Source organism: Homo sapiens, chromosome 2 (genome assembly GCF_000001405.40).
Source record: "Homo sapiens chromosome 2, GRCh38.p14 Primary Assembly".
NCBI lineage: Eukaryota > Metazoa > Chordata > Mammalia > Primates > Hominidae > Homo > Homo sapiens.
This window is the reverse complement of record NC_000002.12, coordinates 12444116-12469535: the sequence shown is the minus strand read 5'-3', so window position 1 is coordinate 12469535 and position 25420 is coordinate 12444116. Positions and strand designations below refer to the sequence as shown.

Here is a 25420-nt window from a genome sequence, read left to right as displayed (position 1 = left end):
CAAAAAACACAGAAAATGAGTTACAGGAGCCTCAGCAAGAAGTCTCCTGGGATGTCACCATCTCCTGGAAAATTCTCCTCAAGAGCTTACCAGACAAATATAAATATATGCTGGATGAAGTTTTCAGTGACCTTTAAACTGTTTGCATTTCAAGAAGATTCCAAGAAGAGTTTCTGTTGCTGGCAGATCCTTGGGATTCTAGGCTTACATTAAAAAATCTAAACCAGATCACACTTCAGGCGTAGCATCCCAGAAACATCATCACTGTGGAATCTGAGTATCAAAGAACGACTCCTCCTTAGTGCCTACTGGGTTTTAGGAAATACGTTCAGTGCTTCTTCTGTGTGGTTCCTTTAATCCCAACAGCTTTAGGAGAAAGGGAGTGTTATTCTCATCAGACAGAGGGGGAAATGGAATCTCAGATTACAAAGCCCACTGCTACATACCCTATAAGGGTCCCAGATTCCTTGGATATAAAATGGATTTATGTTGCCTATCTTGCAGGGTTGTTACAGATTAAGCACTGAGGAAAATAATATAGTAGGTGCTTGCATTAGTCTGTTCTCATGCTGCGAATAAAGAAATATCTGAGACCGGGTAATTTATAATGAAAAGCGGTTTAATTGACTCACAGTTCAGCATGGCTCAGGAGGCCTCACAATCATGGCAGAAGGTGAACGAGGAACAAAGTCATGTCTTACATGGCAGCAGGCAAGAGAGCTTGTGCAGGGGAACTCCCATTTATAAAACCATCGGATCTCATGAGACTTATTCACTACCACGAGAACAGTATGAGGAAAATTGTCCCCATGATTCAATTATCTCCACCTGGCCCTGCCCTTGACACATGGGGATTATTACAATTCAAGGTGAGATTTGGGTGGGGACACAGCCAAACCTTATCGGTGCTCAATAAATGGCAAATGTTATTGCACGTGAGTAAGCCAAAATCCAGACCCAGGCTCCACTGGCTCAAAATGGCAAGTTCTTTCCATTTCTGCAGGTAGGCTTCTCTGGGGCCCAGCCAGGCAGGTGTCTCCTGCTGCCCTTTGTTCCATGGCACCAGAGGAATGTTTCCTAGCCTTTAATGGGAGCAGCTCTCACCTCCCTGTGCCTGTGGTCCCTTCCCCACAATTGTGAAGTGAGAGCCCCTGTCACTGGAGCTCCTTGTCCTCTCCACCTGCAAAGAAAGAGTGCTCTTCTTTTTTAGGACTTGGCTGTCATTCACCTTGATGAGAAGCTAGAAGGTGACAAAAATAGCCATTATGAAGAATCAGCCAAGAATGTGTTACCCTAAAATGCCCTCATGATCGATGATCAGGAACATCAGTCTCTTGTTCCTAGCACCTTCTGGATAGAAGGTGACTGCAGTGGACATATTTATTCAGTCTTTGTTCTGTAAAGGCATGATTCAGTGCTCATCAAGATTTCCCAGGGGGTTTTCAGACAGAGAAGGTGAAGAACATTCTTCCTACTGTCAAAAAGGTACAGTTCAGGCTGGGCGTTGTGGATCATGGCTATAATCCCAGTGCTTTGGACCCAGAGGCAGGAGGATCACTTGAGGCCAGGAATTTAAGACCAGCCTGGGCAACATAACAGGACCCTGTCTCAACAAAATACAAATAGCCAGGTGCAGTTTTAGTCCCAGCTACTCAGGAGGCTGAGGCGGGAGGCTTGCTTGAGCCCAGGAGTTAGAACTGCAATGAGCTATGATTGCGCCATTGCACTCCAGCCTGGGTGACAGACTGAGTCTGTATCTCTAAAATAAAAGAAGAAGACGAAGAAAGTGCAGTTCAGATGGATTCTTACATTGTCCATTGTCTTCAGGGAGCATTCGTATTTCCAATACTCTCTAGATAAGGTGACATTCCGTGCTTTATACCTCTAAACCACTCATATTTGAGTAGTTCCTGCTTGGCACACATATTTATTTATTTTTATTATTATTTTTTTAAGGATGGTGTCTTGCTAAGTTGCCCAGAATGATCTTGAGCTCCTGGACTTAAGCGATCCTCCTCCTCGTTTACTTGGTGTATTTAGATATTGGCAAGAAAGAAGAAAGAAAAAAAGAGAGTAGAAGGAAGGAAGGAAGGATGGAAGGAAGGAAGGAAGATAGGAAGGAAGGAAGGAAGGAAGGAAGGGAGGGAGGGAGGGAGGAAGGAAGGAAGGAAGTGGGTATAGAGGCTGACAGTTGCAATCCCAGCACTTTGGTAGGCCAAGGTGGGAGGATTTCTTGAGCCCAGGAGTTCAAGACCAGCCTGGGCAATATAGTAAGACCCCATCTCTAAAAATAAAAATAAAAAAAAAAAACGTTAGCTTGGCATGGTGGTATATGCCTTTAGTCCCAGATACTCAAGAGGCTCGCTTGAGACAGCAGGATTGCTTGAGCTTAGGAGGTCCAGGCTGCAGTGAGCCATGTTCATGCCACTGCATTCCAGCCTGGGTGACAGAGAGAGACCCTGTCATTATGAAAGAAAGAGAAAAGAAAGAAAGAAAGAAAAAAGAAGGAAAGGTAGGAAGAAGGAAGGAAGGAAGGAGAGACAAAGAAAGAAAAAAAATACGAAGGAAGGAAAGGAGGGAGGGAGGGAGGGAGGAAGAGAGAAAGAGGGACGGAAGGAAGGCAGGAAGGCAGGGAGGGAGGAAGGGAGGAAGGGGAGAGAAAGAAAGAAAAATGAAAGGTATGAGGGAAGGAAGCAAGGGAGGGAGGGAGGGACGGAAGGAGGGAAGAAGAGAGAAAGAGACAGAAAAAAATAATTGACGGCCGGGCGCAGTGGCTCACGCCTGTAATCCCAGCACTTTGGGAGGCCGAGGTGGGTGGATCACGAGGTCAGGAGCTCGAGACCATCCTGGCTAACACGGTGAAACCCCGTCTCTACTAAAAATACAAAAAAATTAGCCGGGCCTGGTGGCGGGCGCCTGTAGTTCCAGCTACTCGGTAGGCTGAGGCAGGAGAATGGCGCGAACCCGGGAGGCGGAGGTTGCAGTGAGCCAAGATTGCGCCACTGCACTCCAGCCTAGGTGACAGAGCGAGACTCCATCTCAAAAAAAATAAATAAATAAAATAAAATAAAATAAAAAATAATTGACAATATATAAGCTGCATCAGACAAAAGTAGAAGCAAGAGGGAATTATGTGTATACCTACAACACAGTAAAACAATATTTAGTCAGATTAAATGAGAGAATAAACTCTGGCTTAAAATTCTCTGGCTTAGAGAATTTTGTTTTATGTTGTACTTTTTCCTCTCTGGTTTTAAATGTTAGATGAACATTTTTGTAACGTATTTTTTAAAATAGAGAAAGTAAAAAAAGCAGGAAAATAATTGCCCGAGGTCCTTCACCTAAGGATAAGAACTCTTAACATTTTGGGTTCTCTTGATGTTTTTCTAGTCAGCTCTCTCTTTGTGTAGTTGAGATCATGGTGTGCGTGTGTGTGTGTGTGTGTGTGTGTGTGTGCGCGCGTGCGCACATGTATGTGTGTGTGTGTCCTGTTCTGTGCCCTGCTTTCCTCAAACAATATAAGCCATTAATATTTCCCCTTATCATAAAAGATAAGAAAAGACTAAGGAACTTGTACTAATTGGAAAAGACCAAGAAGATAACAACAGTTTTTTTGCAATGCAAGATTCTGGACAGGATCCTGGAATAGAAAAAGGATGTTTATGGAAAAAACAAGTGAATCTATTAAACTCTGAGGTTTAGGGAATAGTATTGTAGCAACATTCACTTCCTGGTTTTGTTGATTGTGCTGTGGTTATGTAAGATGTTAACATTAGGGGACACTGCTTGACAGATATGTGGGAACCCTCTGTACTATCTTTGCAACTTTTCTGTAAGTCTAAATTTAGTTCAAAATACAAAGTTTTAAAAATTCCACAGTGTTTAACAACATATTTATCATAGAAACTATTTGTATCCATTGTTTCATGCACGTCATGGAAAAACTGCCATGATATTGTTGCAATAAATACCATTTCTTTTCAACTTTGCAACTTTGAGATCTTTCTTAAAATTAAGCCCCCTAATGAAATTACTGGGTCAAAGGGGTTGAATGGATTTTTGCTACATATTATCAAATATCTTTTAAAAAATTGTTACCAATTAACATTTTGACCATCATTTTATGTGTGCCTTGTATAATTAAAAAAAAATCTTACTAATATGATAGATGAAAATTGAATTGCGATTTTTTAGATCGTATTTTTTGTATAAAAATTCAAGACCATACCTTTGATCTTGATGTTTGAGGTTTTTCCTATTGATTTGAATAAAGCGTACATAAATATAGAGTGACAATTTTCTCTCTACATTATTTGTTACAAATTTGGTTTGGTTTGGAAATGTAGGAGAAAACATTTTAATTACATCAAAGTGCATACCTTAATGGAAACAGGACTTTAAATATTTCTTAAGAAATATCAGTAGCATGATATGCATTAATGAATTAAAACATTAGTAATTATTAAAATTCTTATAACAGTTTATTAGATTTAGTATGAAGAGGTGGCCCCCCCACTCTTCTTATAGCAGGGACAAAGCAAATATTTGCTTTAGCAGAACTGCTGTAAATTTCTAAACTAGGTGCGTGAATAAATGGCCCTAAAAGTACTGTAGCCCAAAAGATACTGTCTCACATACAGGATGCATGGATTGGAATTTAACCCACATATCACACAGGCTATGTGACCTTGGGCAGATCACCTAACCTTTCCTAGTCTTTGTTTCTTTTTTCTGCAGAATGACAATTAGACCTATTCTGCATCCTTCAGTGTTACAAGAATTTAATAATATGAAATGATATTTTCAACAACAAATCTATCTATTCCTGTATTCATTCAACAATTATGGTTCTATGTTAGATAGCATAGAACATTAGGTCCCTGCAAATAGCTACTGACAATGATAATTAAGACTGCCCTTGAAGCTAGCTTAAAACTTTAAGTATTCTATTTGAAAATATTTTGATTTTTTTGTGTGTCCTGTGAATACAAAGATTAGCTGTCCAAAGTATTTTTTGTCCTCTTTATCCTCCATTAACAAAACTTTAGGGAGAATTAGGTTTTCTGGTGAGTAATGTATACAACATATTTGAGGAATTTATCAATTTTACCTAAGTTTCTCAAATTTAGTGTGATAACATTGTTCATAGTATCTTATTAAAGTCTGCATTATTTAGGGTTAATTCTTTCTCATTTCTAATACGGTTTATGTGTACTTGCACATTCATTTTTATCATCGTAAGAGGTGTTTGTCTTTCATTGTGTTTTTTTTTCAAAGAACCGACTTATGTTCTTTTGAATCCTCTTTTGTGTTTTTTAAAAAACGGTAATATCATTATTTTCTGTTTCCATAATTCTCTCCTTTCCAACATTTTATGTTTTGTTTAATATTTTTCCCAATATCTTAAGAAAGATGAATATTGCATTATATTCATCAGTATGTTTTCTATTATTTAAAGGTATAGTTTTTGCTCTGAGTACTGCTTTTGCTTCATTCCACTGTTTTATTGTGTAATATTTTCATTTTCAGTTATAAATGATTTCTAAAAGTATCTTTTTTTTTCTAAGTCTAAGTCTTCTCTTTCTAGCAACTTAATTACATTTCAGTAAAAGAATATTGTCTGTATGAAGGTTGTCCTTTGAAATGTCTTTGAGATTTCTTTATAGCTCACCAAATGGTTAGCTTTGTTAAACATTCGGTGTGTGTTTAAAACTTATACTATGCACCTATTGGATGTAGTGTTCTGCATATAACCATTAGATCAAGCATGTTATATGTGTTGAATTTTCTACAAAAGTCTTATTTTTCAACTCTATCAGTTACTGAGACAAGTGTATTAAAATCTTAAACAATGGTAGATTTGTTGATTTGTTAATGTGGTATTGTCAGTTAAAATTTTTAAGCACATTTTTGAAGATTAGCTGTAAACAAGTTCAAAATAGACATTTGAATATTTATGATATGGTTTGGCTCTGTGTTCGCACTCAAATCTTATCACTAATTGTAATCCCTACGTGTTGGGGGAAGGACCTTTTGGGAGGTGATTGGATCATGGGGACAGTCTTCCCCATGCTGTTCTCGTAATAGTGAGTACGTTCTCATGAGAGCTGATGGTTTTAAAGTGCGACACTTCCTCTCTCTCTCTCTGTCTCTCTTCCTCTCTCTCTCTCTCTGTCTCTCTCTCTCTCTCTCTCTCTCTCTCTCCTGTTGCCTTGTGGATAAGGTGCCTGCTTCCCCTTTGCCTCCAGCAATGATTGTAAGTTTCCTGAGGCCTCCCCAACCATGAGGAAATGTGAGTCAATTAAACCTTTTTGTTTATAGATTACCTAGTCCCAGATAGTGTATCTGTAGCAATGTAAGAACGGACTAATACAATTAATTACTGACTGCCTTTATCTTTAGTGATGCTTTTATCTTAAAGTCAATTTTGTTTGGTATTATTGTAGTTATCGCAGTTATTCTTTGGCTTTCATTTGGCTGTTATCTTTCTTTTCCTATTGCTTTAATTTTAACATTTATTTAACCTCCTACTGTTTATATCCTTCTATGAAAGAATATACCACTGGACTCCTTTAATCCTGTTTAACAATCTTTATTTTAATTTGAGCACTTAGCCCGTTTGTCATGATCACTGATATGTTTAGATTTATTTCTACCATTTTGTTTTACTGTTTGTCTCAAATTTTCAGTGTTTCTTGTCCACTTCTTTTTTGTGTTCTTTTGAGTGTCTCCTAAGACACATGATGTGTGTATTTTTTTCCTTAGTGGTTTTTCTGCCACTTATAATTAACATCTTAATTTGAAACAATCTAGTCTGGATTAATACCAACTTAATTTCATTGAAACACAATACTTGGTCTCATAGAGCTCTGTTTCTTCCAACCTCCTTTGTTCTATTATTGTCATATAAATTATCTTACACATAAAATACATAAACACAGTTTTATAATTATTGTTTTATGCAGGTGTTTTTTAAATAATAAAAGAGTTTCAGGCCAGACGCGGTGGCTCATGCCTGTAATCCCAGCTCTTTGGGAGTCCGAGACGGGCAGATCACTAGGTCAGGAGATCGAGACCATCCTGGCTAACATGGTGAAACCCCGTCTCTATTAAAAATACAAAAAAATAGCCCGGTGTGGTGGCGGGTGCCTGTAGTCCCAGCTACTCGGGAGGCTGAGGCAGGAGAATGGCGTGAACCCGGGAGGCGGAGCTTGCAGTGAGCCAACATCGCGCCACTGCACTCCAGCCTGGGCGACAGAGCCAGACTCCATCTCAAAAAAAAAAAAGAGTTTCAAACAAAAAATTCTTACTGTCTTTTACATTTATCTTAGCAAGTTATTTTCAACCATGTACTTCATGTCTTCATATAGACTGGAGTTACTGGTTTAGTGACTTTTCAATTCAGTCTAAAGAATTAACCTTTACTATTTCATGTAGAGAAGTTCTACTAATAACAGATTCTTCAGTTTTTGGTTGTCTGTGAATGTCTTAATTTGTCTTTTGTTTTTGAAGGATAGTTTTGCAGGCATACAATTCTTGATTAATTGCCTTTTTTCTTTCAGCACTTAGAAGGTCATTTCTACTGCCTTCTGGCTTATATGAAGAAGATAAGAGAATTATATTAGAGAATACCTTGAGAATCCCTTGTATACATCTAGTTGTCTTTCTCTCGCTACTTCAATGAGCCTCTCAGGTTTGATAGTTTATGATGTGTTTCAAGTGTAAATCTCATTGAGTTAATTCCATCTGGAGTTTGTTAAATTTCTTGAATTTTTAGATTAATGTTTTTCATCAAATTTGGAGGGCTATGGTCATTATTTCTTTAAGTATGCTTTCCCTTTCTCTTCTTCATTTTGATTGTCATAATGTGCATATTGGTCTGCTTGATGTTATCCCACATGTTTATTTTTCTCTTTTTGTTTTGTTTTGATTCCTTCACATGGATCATCTCAATTGAACAATCTTCAAGTTAATCAATTCTTCCTTCTACCAGCTCACATTTGCTGTTGAGCCTCTCTAGTGAATTTTTAATTTCAAATATTGGACTTTTCAACTCCCAAATCTATATTTGGTATTTATTTTATAATTTTTATCTCTTTATTTGTTGTCTCAACTTAGTAAGACATCATTCTCATACTTCTCTTTACTTCTTTATACCAGATTTCCTTTCTCTTTTTTTCATCTATTTGCAATAGCTGATTTAAAGTCTTTGTCTAGTAAGTCCAATATCTGGGCTTCCTGAGGGTCTTTCCTGTGTCCTTGCATGTCTCACAATTATTTTGTTGCAAGATGGACATGTTAAATAACATAATGCAGCAAATTCAGACCTCCAATCCCTTCCCTGACTTTGTTGTTATTATTGGTTGTTGTTGTTGTCATCACTGTTTGTTTAGTGACTTTCTTGTATTAATTTGTAATGTCTATATTTTTTGTCAAGCATAGCCACTGATGTCTCCAATTGGGCTAACTCATTGTTCAGCTAATGTTTGGCAGGCATTGTCTTAAGTGCCTTGAACCAATAAGGCTCCCAGCCTTTGCTAAGGGGCTGTATGTTAGTACGTAGTGTGGTGAAAATTTTCAGTTTTATGACAGGCAATTTACAACTCTGATTAGGCCCTACTTTCTGCTTGTGCAGATTTTTAGTGTTAACCAGAAATAAGGTATATAGAAACTTTTCAAAGCTCTCTATGAACATACCATTCTCTGGCTTTTCTTTTTAAATTTTTTTGGTCAGCCTTTTTTCAGACCCAACTTATATTACTGCCTCATGCAACTGTGATGTTAAACAATCACCATTTACTGTTTGCAACAAATTTCCCAGGTATAACATTGTTTTCTAAAGCAAGCCCTACATTAGGTAAAATGAAGAGAAGCCCTTCTAAAATGTGAATAGAGCATTTTACAGAGCTCCCAGACAGGGAAAATTATAATTATCAGAGAATGGGGCTTTCAGGGAGCTTTAAACCCATTCTGCTCACTCTAGTGAATTCTAGATGGATGGGTTTTTAAAGCTGTTATTGTCATAAAGCTGTTTTTTGTTTTCATTTATGTTTTGAGAGAGACAAGGTCTTGCTCTATTAGTCAATCCAGAGTGCAGTGGCATTACCAGGGTTCACTACAGCCTTGACCTCCTGAGCTCAAGTGACCCTCCCACCTCAGCTTCCCAAGTAGCTGGGACCACAGGAACATACTAGTGTGCCCAGCGAATTTTTTTCGTTTTTTTCTAGAGATGGGGTCTTACTTTGCTGTCCAGGTTGGTCTGAAATTCCTGGCCTCAAGTGATCTTCCTGTCTCAGTCTCCCAAACTGCCCCTTAAATATTCAGCAAAAACTGGAAGCAACCAAGATGTCTTTCAGTAAGTAAATGAAAAAATAAACTTAGGTACATTCATACAGTGGAATAATATGAAATAATATTTTGCAATAAAAGGAATGTTCTATCAAAGCCATGCCACAAATAAAGAATTAATCTTCTCTGTGTGTCATTAAGTGGAAGAAGCCAATCTGAAAAAAGGATAAATACTATAAACTTAAGTTTACATAATCTTTTGCAAAAGGCAAAACTTCAGAGATGGTAAGAAGTCAGTGTTCCAGGGTTTTGGGTAGGGAGGAGGGTTAAAGAAATAAAGCAAGGGGATATTTTAGGTAGGGGAAACTATTCTGTATGATACTGGAAGGATGACTATTTTACGTTATGTATGATCAAAACCCATGGAAATTCACAGCACAGAGAATGGAACTGAATGTATACAATTTTGAAAAAGAAATCATATAGGAGGTTGGTTCAGCAACCTTAGTTCTAGCAGGAAATGCAGACTGTCACAAAGATAATCTAGTTGTATTTCAAATGTATGAGATAATCTCACTGAAGGCTACAGGGAAGGTGAAGGAAGATGCTACCCTAATCAACTTTGGAAATGAGTGATTACTACAAGAACAAAGGCAAAAGCAACTGTACATAAGACCTATACTCTAGTTGATAAAGTAGTTTCCAGTGAGGCTACAGGTTAATAATACTGATACAGTTATAAATATATACAAAAATTGAGCCATTGGTAAATGGATGGTGGATTGTGGAGGCCTCGTTTTTTAACTGTTGAAGTAGACAAGCAAAAGGAAAAAGCTAGAATCATCCATGTGGCAATAGATTAGAGTTGGAGACATGAGTGCAAACTCATGTTTAGCTTAGTATAGATACAGATAGTTAAATGTAGAAATATATACAGATATGTTTATATAAGTGGGTTGGTATACACATGTACGTCTCCTTGCTCTGTTGGCCAAGAGGGTGTAGAAACAATGACACCCCAATTGAATGAGTATAACTAGTGCCCAGATTTGGGGTTCTAATACCATTCTTTTTTTTTTTTCTTTTGAGATGGAGTCTTGCTGTGTCACCCAGGCTGGAGTGCAGTGGCGTAATCTTGGCTCACTGCAACCTCCTCCTCCCTGGCTCAAGCGATTCTCCTGCTTCAGCCTCCCTAGTAGCTGGGACTACAGGCATGTGCCACCAAGCCTGGCTAATTCTTTTGTATTTTTAGTAGAGATGGGGTTTCACCATGTTAGCCAGGATGGTCTCGATCTCCTGACCTCGTGATCCGCCCGCCTCGGCCTCCCAATGTGCTGGAATTACAGGCATAAGCCACTGCGCCTGGCCTCTAAAACCATTCTTGAAGAAAAAGAACCAGGGCTTCTTGGAGATATGGCTGGTTCTAGCACTGGAGTAGGGAATGCACAAAATGAGCTTGGAGCATCTTGTAATGCCAGAAAGTAGAAATGCTTAATACACACACACACACACACACACACACACACACACACACATTGATGGGGTGTTTTAGAGGAACACAGGAACCAACTGAAAGAGTTCCCAGCGGCAGAAGCTGGAACAACTTGGCAAAAGAAAAGAATAAATCATTGTGGTGTTATAACCAAAATATAAAATAAATATCAAGAAAGCCATAGTAAGACAAAAAAGATTGAATACATAAAATAATAATGGGGAAAAATAAACAAATATCTCTAGTATTTGTGAATGACTGAGTTAATGTTATCTATAAATAATATCATTTGATATTTTGAATAAAAAAATTTAAGCCCTAAAAGGATTATTATGCTACTTTTATAAGAATTTTTCTATTAACAACCGTATCTGAAATTTGCAGGTTAAAATTTCAAAGTCCTATGACAGTCCTTTTCTGTCATTTCTGGAAACACACTTGCTAAATTAACTTTGAGTTTAAAGTGCCGTCAAGCACCCAAAAAACTGCTATTGCTGGACTGATGCCAAAGGTTCCCAATTTCTAGGTGTCAGGTGTGTTTGGATAGAGGCTTCAGTTCAAGTTTATTTGTTCTATGACAACAATTTTAAAAATCGTACCTATCTCTGAGCCTTCAGGCCTATCACAGACACAAGAAATTCCACATCTTGTGAAAAATGTGTCATTTGCATGGCATTTTCCCTTTGAGAATATGTGTGTGCACTTTCTGTGCCAAAGACAGTAGAAAGTGTAACAGAGCATGTGCTGGGTGAGGGAATGAGCTGCGGCTGAGCAATGCACTTCAACTGCTTGTGGAAACTCTCGACTGGGGATTGTCTGTTTCTTCCCTTTAGATCAACAAAGAAGTATCCAGTTTACTCAAAGTACCAGTGTTGAATCTGTGCAAAACATTGAGTCCTTTGTCTGATTCAAAACCCACATCTCTTGTATTAAGCATGTAATTATGCACCATAATAATGTCTCACGTTTTCCCAAGATTTTATATTTAACCAATTTCATGTCAATTATATCACTGAACACTAATTCCCTTTCCCCATCCTGTCCCATTCTCTTGCACTGCCAACTCTTCCCTCAGAACACATACTCAAGAAGCATGGAATGTTGACCATGTTTGGAGGTTGAGGAAACGGACATTTGCAGAGGGTGAATGATGCCCCAAAGTTAGAGAAACACCAACTAGAGAAGCAACTGTGTAAACAGACTATGAGCTGATGGTTTTGTTTTTAGGGACACAGCTCAAATTCCCTAGGACTGTGCTTTGCTTATAGTACACCATTAGATGGAAGCCCAGCTCTTGCACAGTGATTTCTGGCACCTCTGAGTGTAGAAGTATTTCTCCTTCTTCAATCTCCCTCCATACCTGCCTCCCCAGGCTCCATAAACTTCTCCCTTATGATGCCCTGCCATCTGCTATTTCCAGAATCCACTCACAGATGTGCCTCTTCTACCAATAAACTGTGAGCATGTGAAGGGCAGTGCCCATGGCTGACTCTTCCCTGTATCTGTTGACCCCACCCCAAGTATTAATGTAGGTCCTGGGGCGGAATGATGTTTGATAAGTGAGCATGAAACAGGACCCATTACGGCGAGCAGTTTAAGATGAGGAAAATTAAGAGTTGGAAGGGAACTAATATGTATTGATCCCCTATGCATGCCAGGCTATAGCCTCAGTCCTTTACAGTTATTCTCCACTAATTTCTGACTTCCTATTACCATCCTCATCATAAAGAGGAAGAAAATCCCACTCAGCGAGATTAAGTCATTTGCCAGTCATCAGGATTTGCATCCAGATTGGGCAATTCCCTAATCGGTACTCTTTGTACTAAAAGACAACCCCAGGTGAATTGGCAGGATCCAAAGACTAATCCTATTTATATTCATCACAGGAGCATAATGTACCAAATACCTGAGAAGAAACAGGATAGGAAATTTTCTGTGTGTATTTTATCTGTGCAGGGAGCATTGGGGTCTATTTTCATTGGCTTTATCCCCCTTTTTTTTACTTAAAACTAATAACAACTGAATATTTTCCACTGGCGTATAAATGGATGTCTCAATTGCAAAGGTGCCGACAGCTCAGTCTTACTTAACTTTCAGTTTAGGTATCCACCCTGCATTGCACAATCATCAAATGAGATATGATGCAATTTTTTTTAAACAGACTTTGCAAAACAAGTATTGAGTAACCAGAATCTCTTTTTCCTTGTATGTGCCTAGCAACCTTGCAGGTCTGTTTGACAGGAAAAATTTGCCCTTGGACAGCAATTCAGAAAGATACTTAAAGGCTGAGAAAAGCATGAGGCTCTGGAGTGTCGCAATCAGTGGGTCAGGCTGATTAACCAAAAAGGAAGTGCTTGGGCTCCCCCGTTGCTCCGCCCCTCTCTGTGTAAGGCAGCAGGGTCAGAGAGAGAAGCCAAATTTATCTGACACATTCCTCTGTTTACTTTGTGGACTGTAGAGCTTGGTGAAAAGCTTTCTCAGATATATATATTATATATAATATATATTATATATATTATATATTATATATATATTATATATATATTATATATATTATATATATTATATATATTATATATTATATATATAATATATATATATTATATTATATATATTATATAATATATAATATATTATATATTATATAATATATTATATATATTATATATTATATAATATATATATACACACACACGTACATATATGTATGTGTATATATAGTATATATGTATATATATAGTATATATGTATGTGTATATATAGTATATATATATGTATGTATATATATAGTATATATATTATTGTTAAAAGAATGATGCAACATTGCAGAAATTTTTGAAAAGTGAAAAATTAATCATGCATCATTTCATCACCCCAACAAATGTGTTTTCGGTTTTATTTATTTCCTTCCAGGCGTCCTCCTCATTCATACATATTTTACACACTGGGACAGAATCCAGGAAACACCATCTGCTGAGCACTATTTGGTCAGAAACTGGACTCAATGATTTAGATTTTTAATCAAATTTATTTCTGACAAAATTCCTCCAAGGTCAAAAGATTGTCTCCATTTTACAGATTAAAATGCAACCACTACCTAAGAAAATATTAGTACCTGCCTGAAGTTCCCGGGTCAAGTCATGAATCTGGGATTCAAATACAGTTTTGTTTGCCCACAGAACCAGTGGTTTATTCTACATCGTCACTCAGCTTTATATTTTTCTTATTTACCATTATATATAAGTATGTTATTTTATGATACTCATCTATATTAATATGTTAATATATGTAATCTAAGTACTAATGATGTGTCACCATTTACTCTACAATATTAAGTTTTGGAGCAGATATTAATCTCAGCCTGCAAAAAATCAATTTTGCAAGAATGTAATTGTATTTTCTGTACATGGGCAATATTCATTTCAAACCTCTGTTTTGCTACATGGTAGAAACTTAATCTCATCAATTGGGGACTTACACTCCTGAAACCTGTAAAATTCCAGAGATTGTTTTTGTGTTCCATGTTCTTAATTAGTGCCATGCTTGGGTAAAAAGCCACGCATGTGGCTTTTATGTTTACCTCTCTCCATTGTAACATCCCCTGGGATGGCCTGATACCCTTCCAACTCCTAGTTATCGGTCCTTAAATGCCACTGCGCATCCTCCTTTGCCCGACTGCAAAGCCTGTGCACTTCCGGCTTAAAGTAGCCACTCCTAGGCCTCTCTTCAGAGCAAGAAACAGGAGTAGCAGGACTGAGTGAATTGGTTTTCCACGCCTTCATGGCTCTGGCTTTCCATGGTCTTGCTTTCTCATTAGTTGGATTCCTATTTACAATGGATCTGCTGCATTTCCAAAGAAGACTCTCAGCCACATGCTACAAAGTTATCAGCAGCGGCTGTGATGATTGGGATGAAACGTGGGATGTGTCAAGGCAAGAGAGGACACTCAAGTGGTGGCTCACACCTGTAATCCCAGCACTTTGGGAGGCCGAGGCAGGCGCATCACGAGGTCAGGAGATCGAGACCATCCTGGCTAACCCAGTGAAACCCCGTCTCTACTAAAAATACAAAAAAAAAAAAAAATTAGCCAGGCGTGGTAGCGGGCGCCTGTAGTATGAGCTACTTGGGAGGCTGAAACAGGAGAATGGCGTGAACCCGGGAGGTGGAGCTTGCAGTGAGCTGAGATCACGCCACTGCACTCCAGCCTGGGCAACAGAGCGGGACTCCGTCTCAAAAAAAATAAAATAAAATAAAATAAAAAAGAAAAGAAAAAAAAAGAAGTGTAGCCTCCTTACAGATGACCAGTGAGTGGATGCATTTTATTAGTTCTCTGGAGAAACAGAAACTATAGGATGAAGATGTAGATATATAAAAATGAGATTTATTTTAAGAAATGGCTCTGATGATTGTGGGGGCTTGGAGAGTCCAAAATTTGATAGGGGAAGCTGGCAGGCTGAAAACGGGAAAGAGTTTCAGTTTGAGTCCAAAGACAGTCTTCCAGAGAATTCCTTCTTGCTGGGAGAAGGGAAAGTCAGTCTTATCAGTCTTACATTCTATTCAGTCCTTCAGTTGGTTGGTTGAGGCCCACTTATAAATGTGGAGCACCATGAGCTTTACTCAAAGTCCAGCATTTTAAATCTCACCGAAAACACCCTCACAGAAACATCCAGAATAATGTTCTATGACATATCTGGGCACTGTGACCCAGACAAGTTGACACATAAAATTAACCATTACAGCATCCCTTGCATGAGCTGGCACCATAAACATAAACAGCAAAAAGGGGATACCTCCCCGAGGCCCCCCCGCCGGGACACCTCCCCGAGGCTCCCCCGCCGGGACACCTCCCCGAGGCTTCTCTGCCGGGATAACTCTCCGAGGCCTCTCTGCTGATTATTCTAATCCACCTTCTCAACTTTTTAGGATTACTCCAAGAAAGGGCATTTTCTTTAATTAAAAAAAAGCAAAGCGATAAACAAAAAAAAAATCCTGTATTTACAGCACATTATTTAATTCATTTGAGAAATATTAACAGTTCCAGGCACTATTCATCTCTATAGATTCACAGGTGAATAAAATCCTATTATTTTTGTCTTAAGGAATTGACTTAACGCAAAGATAGAAAACTAAACAAGAAACAAGAAACACTACAATAATTGCTTAAACTGCAATAATCAAAGGTACTAAGGGACTTTTCCATTTTGGTCTTTCATTAATTTTCCTTTACTGGTTTTCAAGTTAATGTTATGCCACCAGCTGCCCCCAGACAGCCCTAAGAAATGTGCCACTGTGTCGGTGGTGGGGACACCATGGAAGGTGACATGCACAGCTTCACATGGTGGCTGCCCTATGAAGACGTGGGACAAGCAGTATCTTGATTTTAGAAAAAAAAAAAAAAAAAAGAAAAGAAAAGCTGTGCTTCTTCTCAGCCACTGGTTCATTTTTGCCTTAAGGACCAGTTGACTTTACAAGTGATAATATATGTAGTTTTTCTTTGTCTTAGCTATAAAGGAGAGAAAAGACAAATGTGGGTACAATCTGTGGTAACCCTGTAGAACCATATGGCATTCATTCTGCACACTGACTGTGCTCCAGAGTGTCTCTTCTCTGCTCTCTCTCTTACTTTCTCTTTATTCCCTTATTTTTATCACTAGATTTTTAAAAATCTTATTTTAGTAAATGGTCCGCTGACAGCCAACTCAGATCCATTTTGGAAAGACATAGAAAATTATGTAGGTGGATGGATGGATGGATGGATGGATGGATGGATGGATGGATGGGGAGACAGTTTCCTTTCATAGAGTTAAGGAAAATGTCATGGAAACAATGATACTTTCAGGCTTGGTCGAAGAGGATGCATGGCTGTTTATTGGAAGGGAAGGAGGGCAGCTTCTACCTGGGGCAGGTAGTGGGGAGGGATGGGGAAGCTGGATTGCACTAACCTTTGGTGAACAGAGCTAATTAAGTAAGTTACTTAATAATCACATCATCTGGTTAATGCAATTCAGAATGAGTCCCAGATACTCTGGTCATTATGCTGATGGAAAGCTTTTTGAAAAAAAAAAAAAAAAAAAAAAAAAAAAAAGGCCATCTCCCTCTGCTCATCCTGTAATTATCCATTTCTTGCCTACCTCTTGCTGTTTTTGATAAGAGCCATTAGGATAATAATTACAGGCTCAACTAATGTATTAATAACTCTATGGATGTACATTTCTTGATGCCTCTGTGAAAGACTGAAATATGTTAACCTTTTAAATGTCTTCAGTCACAGGCTGTGTCAGACTTTTATTAATGGCCCAGTTCAGCTGCCCAAACTCCAGCTAGCTGCAAGCGCATATGATGTGTGGTAACAAAGCATTTTCATCCTGCTCATGGTCACTTCCCTTTTTAGGAACTTGAAATGAAATACTGTGTTTATCCTGTATATCCTAAGAATGTACGTCAGCTGCAAGCCCTGAAATAGACACAGTTTGCTGCCCTAAATATTTGATTCTTGAGTCAAGTTATTGTAATTGCTAGACATCTTTCTTTAAATATAGAAGGACAGTAGAGCTGTACATTTGAAATAAACATCATGCTCACATATAACACAGTTTCGATTTGATTTTTCAAAAATAATTTCCTCAGGTTTGGTGAGTGCAGTAAATGATGAGATATTTAATTCATCGAAAATCCTACAGCTTTAAGGAGACATGATTAAGACGTCTCTGGGTTATGAAAGGGCATTTCTAGCAGTTAAAAGAATGCAGTTACTACAGAACGGAAACTTCAACACACCCTTTTGTAAAACCATTGTTAATCTGCCATTGCCCCAACTCTATGGCTGCTGTTTCGCTGATAAGTATTTTCAGATTAAAGAGTGAAAGCAAATACATTTACCACAGACAAAAACACATATTAGGGGACCTAACTGCCTTTGAACCGTTTGATAGCTTATCTCCTACCTCCAGGGCATTAAGCTAAAGTTGCAAGGCTGCCTGACACCTGCAGAAATAGCCCTGGGACAAAAATATTTTCAGGTATTCTTGCCTAGTACTTGCTAAAGTTAGAGAACAAAATAAAGGACTCAAAGCTCCTGTGTGTTTATGGCATGCGAGATGCCCATCACTCAGCCTTCTTACCCTCATGTCAGATTTGATCTACTTTTGGACACCAAAATTGAGATTCCAATCTTAAAATTCAAAGCAGTTTGGTAGAGTTTGGGATAGGTAGGTTCATTGAATTTAAACTTCATGGGAGGAGGCATAAATATGGTTTGTTTATTTGAAGGAGTCATAGAAAAAGGAGTTTTCTAATGGTGGTTTAGAAAGTAATAGTCAAAGCTTTAAAATACTCTATATAGCATTGTATAAATTCCTTAATATATAATACATTTAAATATTAAATATATAATATTTATTAAAGTATTAAATATCTATATTCTATACTTAATACTTTAATGTGTCATATTTTATAAATTCCTCTAAGGAAATTATTTATAAAATATTATGTGTTTAAGTATTAAATATACAGTATATATTAAAAATTTATAAAATACACTAACATATATGTATATATACACACACACACATACACACACCAAGATAAAAAGAAAGAGAGAGTGCACTCACCTGGGACCAGCTTGACAAAGCCTGATGAGTTCTACCAATTTATGTCCAATACTCCTCTTTTTTTCCATCATCAATTTATGAAGTTAACAAATATTTATTGACACTTACTACTTATCTAGTGCTGTGCAAGTTGCTCAAAATATAAAGTAGATTAAGACAAGCATTTTCTGCCAAGTTTGCACAAACAAATGCAAAGAAGACTGAAATTTCTTGAGAGAGGACCGATGATGAAAGTAAACAGAGGACCTCCAAATGCTCCAAGAATGGGCACCATCCCCCGGCTGAGTGGGGAAGAAAGGAGAGCACCAGAGGCTGCTGCCTGAGAGGGTATTTGCGATTGTTTCTCATGGTATTTGCTATCCCTTGTTGTTTGGATATAACAAAGGCAGAGGCATGTGTTAACCACGCTTCTATGTTCATGGCTTGCTATCAACAAGTGCATGTGGAAGGTCCCAGTCCTATTTTTGTTTGTTAATGTATTTGTTTATTTACTTTTTGAGTTCCCTTTCTCACCATTTCTTACTCCTAATTCTCCTATCCCCACTATCAGCAACAATTCTATTCTGATTAATGTTGACGTCTGTGTGTCCTTATACACTGTGTGTGCTATCATTTTTTAGGCATGCATCTTAATTCCTGTAAGTGGCATTTTTTATATCCCATTATGTTTCTTTTTCACCACACACTATGTTGTTAACGTCCAGCCATCAGCCACATACTCATTACTTCCAATTGCTGTATAATAGTCCACCTTTGTCTATGCACCAGAATAATGAGGGGTGCACAGGTGTTCTCCAACTCTACCACCATGCATGTCCTTGTGAGGTCCACTGTTAAAGCATTTAAGAATTATGCCATTATTTTTTTTTTTTACTAAAAACAAAGTATTCAGTATTTTTAGCATGTGCCTAGCAGGTAATACAAAGATGTAAAGCCCACAGTCCTTTTTCTCTAGAAGTTAATTGTATAGTTTTTCTCTAGAAGTTAATTGTATAGTTGGAGTGGGAAGGAGGATGTATGATCTATAAATAAGTTACTCTTATAAAAACAGACAAGGGCTAGATCAACAATTCCAAGATGCAGGAGAAGGTAACTGGCATTTGTCAAGCATCTGCTATAGGCTGGGCTTTTTGCTGAGAATTTCCCGAGCACTGGAAAATTTCTCTGGTAAGCATAAAAGGAGGGAGACTTATGGGGGCAAAACCTAAGAAGCCTACTTGGAAAATGCAAGATTTACTCCAGGAAAGTAGAACTTCTTCAAGCATAGATGGGAGCAGGAAGAACATTATGGTCGAAGCAAACCTAAAGAATAAAGGATGAGTGCTCAGAACATGTGGGGCATTGGTGGGGGAGCAAGACTTAGGTCCATTTAAGGAATTCATAGATAGTATGAGAAATGGTGGGCATTCCTTAGAAAGTCATAGCATGTGAATTTAATAATATTTTAAATTATGAATAGAGGTGGTGTCCTGGTATCTAATCCTCTCAACTAATTTGTGCCATGCAATATTCTAAAATCTGTGATTACAGAGATGAACCAAAGAGACTTGGTCCATATCCTTGTGGAATGTAAATTCTACTGGGTAAAAGCAGATGATAAATAAGTTAAGACAGAGCAGATGAATAAATAAGCAAACCAAACACAAAAATATAAGATAATACATGCTAGTTCATAGGCCATTATATGAATTAAAAACAACTGTCTCCTCTAGGAGGACAAAACAGAGAAGAAAAATACCACTCCCACTGCGATGAAAGGCTTGTCTACTCAATACTGCCTCTTACTAATACAAAGAAGATGTTCCTCTAGAGCTCAGGAGGAATCTGTGAGTCAGATTTCAACCCACACTCATCCTCCCAGCCTGCAGCCATTGGCAATGCCCAAACCAAGCAGCCTTGGACATGGACACAAGACAGGGCCTTGTGTTAAAGAAGAAAAAGATGCAGAGGGCAGGTATGTCAGTCAATACGATTGCCTTGCACAAATGGTGATATTTGTCCTGAGATCTCAAAGAAGAGAAGCAACCTTTTATGCAGCATTAAGGGAATGTCACTCCAGACAGAGGAAGTAACAAGGTCAAAGGCTCCAACACAAGTGCTGATACAGTTGTTCCCAGACCAGAAGGGCCAGTGACTGACACAAGAGCAGAAGGTGATACAGAGATAATAGGGGCCCAACTGCAGAAGCCATGCTGTAGCGTTTGGATTTTAAGATTTTACTTAAATGGTATGTGTATGCCGTGCATGTATTTTATTGTAGTTGAAGCTAGGTGGAGGAATTTAATTGAAGAATGGGTTTACAAGAATCTTCAGAATATCTTGGCTTCTACATAAGATAAAAATAAATACATTCAGGTTATAAAGCTCTCATTTATGGAATCAAGATTCTAGATTGCCATAACTGAAGGGGAACTCATATATTATTTAGTTCAAACTTTTTTTATTTAAATAAAAAATGATATCCTATGTAGACACATTAATTTATTCATATATAGATCGGTATATATTGATTTATATAGACATATTAATATCTAGATATACTGATATCTCTATTTATCTATCCATCCCATGTAGATATATTGAAAAGTACCAAGTTCAAAAACTCAAGAATAAAACAAATTCAATTACTTAATCTGTCTATACCCAAACTTATTACGCATATTTGCAAATTTCCATTCTACCAGGTAGTGGACATTTAATTTAAGTCTATTCAGTGGCTCTCCTACCCTCATCCTGGTGCTCTTTCTAAATTAGCAGGCACATACACTGCTCTAAGCCATTGATAGTACTGGAAAGAGCTAATAGGTCCCATCTTCATTGTTGTTTCAGTTCATTCAGGCAGCTACAGCAAAATGCCTTAGAATGTATCATTTATCCCCTGAGTCCCCAAAGTCCATTCATATGCCTTTGCATCATCCTCATAGCTTAGCTCCCACCTATAAGTGAGAACATACAATGTTTGGTTTTCCATTCCTGAGTTACTTCACTTAGATTAATAGTCTCCAGTCTCATCCAGGTTGCCGTGAATGCCATCAATTCATTCCTTTTTATGGCTAAGTAGTATTCTATCATATGTAAATACCACAATTTCTTTACCCACTCGATTGATGGGAATTTGGATTGGTTCCACATTTTTACAACTGCAAATTATGCTGCTATAAACATGAGTGTGCAAGTATCTTTTTTTGTATAATGATTTCTTTTCCTCTGGGTAGATAGTAGTGGAATTGCTGGATCAAATGGTAGTTCTACTTTTAGTTCTTTAAGGAATCTACCACTACTTTTCATAGTGGGTTGTACTAGTTTACATTCCCACCAGCAGTGTAGAAGTGTTCCCTGTTCCCCGCATCTGTGCCAACATCTATTATTTTTGGATTTTTTGATTATGGCCATTCTTGCAGGAGTAAGGTGATATCGCATTATGATTTTGATTTGCATTTCTATGATTAGAAGGGGGTGAGGGATAAAACAGTACAAATTGGGGGCAATGTATACTACTCAGGTGATGGATGCACCAAAATCTCACAAATCACCACCAAAGAACTTACTCATGTAACCAAATAACACCTTTTCCCCAATATCCTATGGAAATTAAAAAAAAATTTTTTTAAAGAATGCATCATTTATAAACAACAGAAATTTACTGCTCACAGTTCAGGAGGCTGCAAAGTCCAAGATCAAGGAACCAGCAGATTAGATGTCTGATGAGGGTCTGTTTCTCCTAGGAGGCACCTGCTATGTGTCCTCACATGGCAAAAGGGAAGGGACAAGCTCCTCTGAGCTCTTTTGTAAGGAAACTAATGCCATTATAAGGAACCCAATTACTTCCCAATTATCCCACCTCAGTACTATCACACTGGAAATCAGGTTTCAACATATGAATGGGGGTGGTAGAATACAAACATTCAGAGCGCCGCAATTGTCATTGGCCCTTGCCCTCTCTCCATACTGGCATAAGTGACAATGTGCTTGTTCTTACCCGGTGAGAGCCCTGTTGTCTGCTCGCTCTTGGATTCTATCTGAACAACTCTTAGGCCCAGAGAAAATATTTTGTATTTTCCCATGTCACTCCGGGCAAGTAGATTTTATAAAACTGATCTGGAGCTTTCTGCCTCAGTAAACCCGTCTGATATTCTTTCTCTGACCACCTCATTCACAGGGAAAATCAAGGCCTTGCCCTCTTTTTGGCCTTTGGCACTGACTCTCTTCTACCCTCAGTTACTCAGTTCTTCTCAAAGACGCTTCATCCATTCCTCTCCTGGGAATCCCCAGCTTCTCTGCCTTCATCCTTCTTCTGTTCTGTTCCTTCCTATCTTTCCAGGCCAGGCAATCTGTATCTAATAATTGACCGAGAGGATGACGAATTATATCTAACCAGCTAAATACCATTCTGAATCTTTTTTTTTAAATTTGAGACAGAATCTCACTCTGTCACCCAGGCTGGAGTGCAGTGGCACAATCTCAGCTCACTGCGAGCTCCGCCTCCCAGGTTCACGCCATTCTCTTGCCTCAGCCTCCCGAGTAGCTGGGACTACAGGCCCCCGCCACCACACCCAGCTAATTTTTTTGTATTTTCAGTAGAGACGGGGTTTCACTGTGTTAGCCAGGATGGTCTCGATCTCCTGACCTCGTGATCCGTCCACCTCAGCCTCCCAAAGTGCTGGGATTACAGACTTGAGCCACTGCGCCCGGCCCCATTCTGAATCTTTTCTTTTGTCCCTAGGTCACCTAGATCTTTTTCTCTCTGCATTCTGCTGGAATAGAATTGGCTTCCTAGATGCAGGAGGTCAATAGGCTAATGGGACATATTCTTGAAAAAGGACCACAATGGTTAGTAACATAACAAAATATTCCCCCCACATATGAGTTATCAAAATAAAACAATGTCATTTAAAGACATAAACTATGTGTTGTTTAACCATATTGCAACTCAGTGTAACCTAATCAATCTTAAATGTTTTGTAATTATTTCTCTTAAATATCAGTTGCTCCCCTCAAATGCACATACACATTAGTTTATACTATTGAGTCATGTATATTTATCTTTCTAGAAATAGATATAAATGTATCTCACACATTCACACACAAAACAACCCACATACAAACCAATGTAGTTAAGGCCCTAGGATATATCATGAATGTTAACCTAAAATAAATACCTGAAGGGAGCCCTTTTGTATGAGGCATTCTTCTGGTTCTTCAAAGACCATACACTGCTGAATTCTTTATTTGGCTAACATTTCAGCTATGTGTCAAACCACGAGAATTGAGCCAGAAAGCACACAGCAACCCTGCCCAGGCAGGAAGACTCCTACCTCTGCAGATTTTGGAGAAGCACAGGGGCAAGACCTGCTTTATCCAAGAGGTCAAGCAGCCACTGAACTCAGCCAAGAGCCCACCCCCTGGCTCCACACAGACAGGGAGGCAATCCTCAATTGTGTATTTTGAAGGAGCATGGTCTCTGGTCCCACGTGGCTTGAGCAATGACGCTGCGTAACTGCGGAGACCAGCCTGCAGCCTTGATCCACTACAGATCCTAAATTGAAGAATTACCTGGCCGGAAGATGCATCTTGTGACCACCTAAGCAGGAGTCATTGGGGTACCCAGCCAGCCAACATCAGAGCAAACCCAGGGGCTCAGCCAACTACTGAACTCACAACAAGTGCTGCGGACTGGTTGCTCACCAGCTGGCCCTTCCAGAACCACAGTTTGGACAGGGAGGAATACTCTATCACTGCCAAAGAACACCTGTAAAGGCCTGAGTTTACCTGTTTGTGACATGGAAAGCTGCACAAGGACTTTGAGTAGGAGAATGAAAATGTATTTGGATTCTGGAAGTTAAATCTAATACCAAAGTGAGAATATTTTGCACACTTCTTGGGCTTTTTAAAAATATATATATTTATTTGAGGCCACATAATACAAAAGAGAATGTACTTTATTTCCAAATGTTCTTTAATCCATTCTTTTTATCTACATAGTAAGGAATTAGTAAAGAGGAAGACAAGATGACAGCATGGCGTGGTCCGTTTTGCCATTAAAAACTTTATTTTTAATTTACTGTCAGACTCTAGAAAAAGTGTTTTGAGTGTTCATAAGGAACAGTAAATTTTCATAGTTTTTAAATAACTTGTGAATTTCATTTTTGGAAATAGCAATAGTCATTAGATTCTTAATAGGCTTTATTAATATGGTAAGTCACTATGCCATCTTATAGACTATTATGTGGCTACCACCTTATTTTGTTATTATTTTTATATTATACTAATAATTTTTTGTTACTTTTCTTCCCATTTCACAGATGAAAAACTAAGTCCCAGGTATTTCCCCAGTGAAACACAATCAGGAAAGGATACATATCAAGTATTTCAAATACCAAGTCCATTTCTCTTTCCATTAAGCTAAGTTGAATCACTAAGCTAGGAGACACATGGGAAGTTATTGTCTGTGATGTTATAATGAAGCTCTTTTCGTTCACCAATATCCAAATCTAAGCTGAAACCATGAAATCAGAAGATGTCAGTAAGATTCTTTGTTTAATGAATCAATTACATTGAATCAAGTGTTACATATCTGATATTTTCTCTGGCATAATTTCTCCACATCCCCAGAGAAATTCATTTGTTTGGAGATGTTTTTCTTTATTACAACTACAGTCCATGCATATTATACCACAAATCAGTCTTATGAGTATGTGTGCTGATATTCACCATCGAGCACTAACTTATCCTTCAAAACTCATACCATTTATTATCTCTTTGAGACTTTCCCGACCTATCAAGTTAACATTGATGACTCCCTCTTTGTACTTCCATTGTTCCCTTTAGAAAAGCCTATGACAGCAACTCTAACGAATGTTTGAATGCATTTGTTTTGAGATTTGTTTCCCTCATCTGACTCAAAGGTACTTGAAGAAGGTAAATTTATCTTTTTATCTCTATTTTCTCAAATTTAGCACAGCAATATACACAGGAAAAGTACACAAGTATTTTTTAAATACTTTTTTTCTTCAAAGCCCAAATACTTCTG

At 38.2% G+C, this 25420-nt stretch overlaps 2 long non-coding RNA genes across 2 annotated transcripts in view; one reads left to right on the top strand and one right to left on the bottom strand.

The window, feature by feature from the left end:
* MIR3681HG (MIR3681 host gene) overlaps window positions 1–25420 on the bottom strand; it is a 571233-nt gene that overhangs the window by 108813 nt on the left and 437000 nt on the right. The window lies entirely within an intron of this gene.
* On the top strand, window positions 6257–24380 carry LOC105373431 (uncharacterized). The gene is made up of 3 exons (XR_922805.3): window positions 6257–6292; window positions 20103–20344; window positions 23636–24380. It is a non-coding gene; the product is annotated as an uncharacterized LOC105373431 (long non-coding RNA).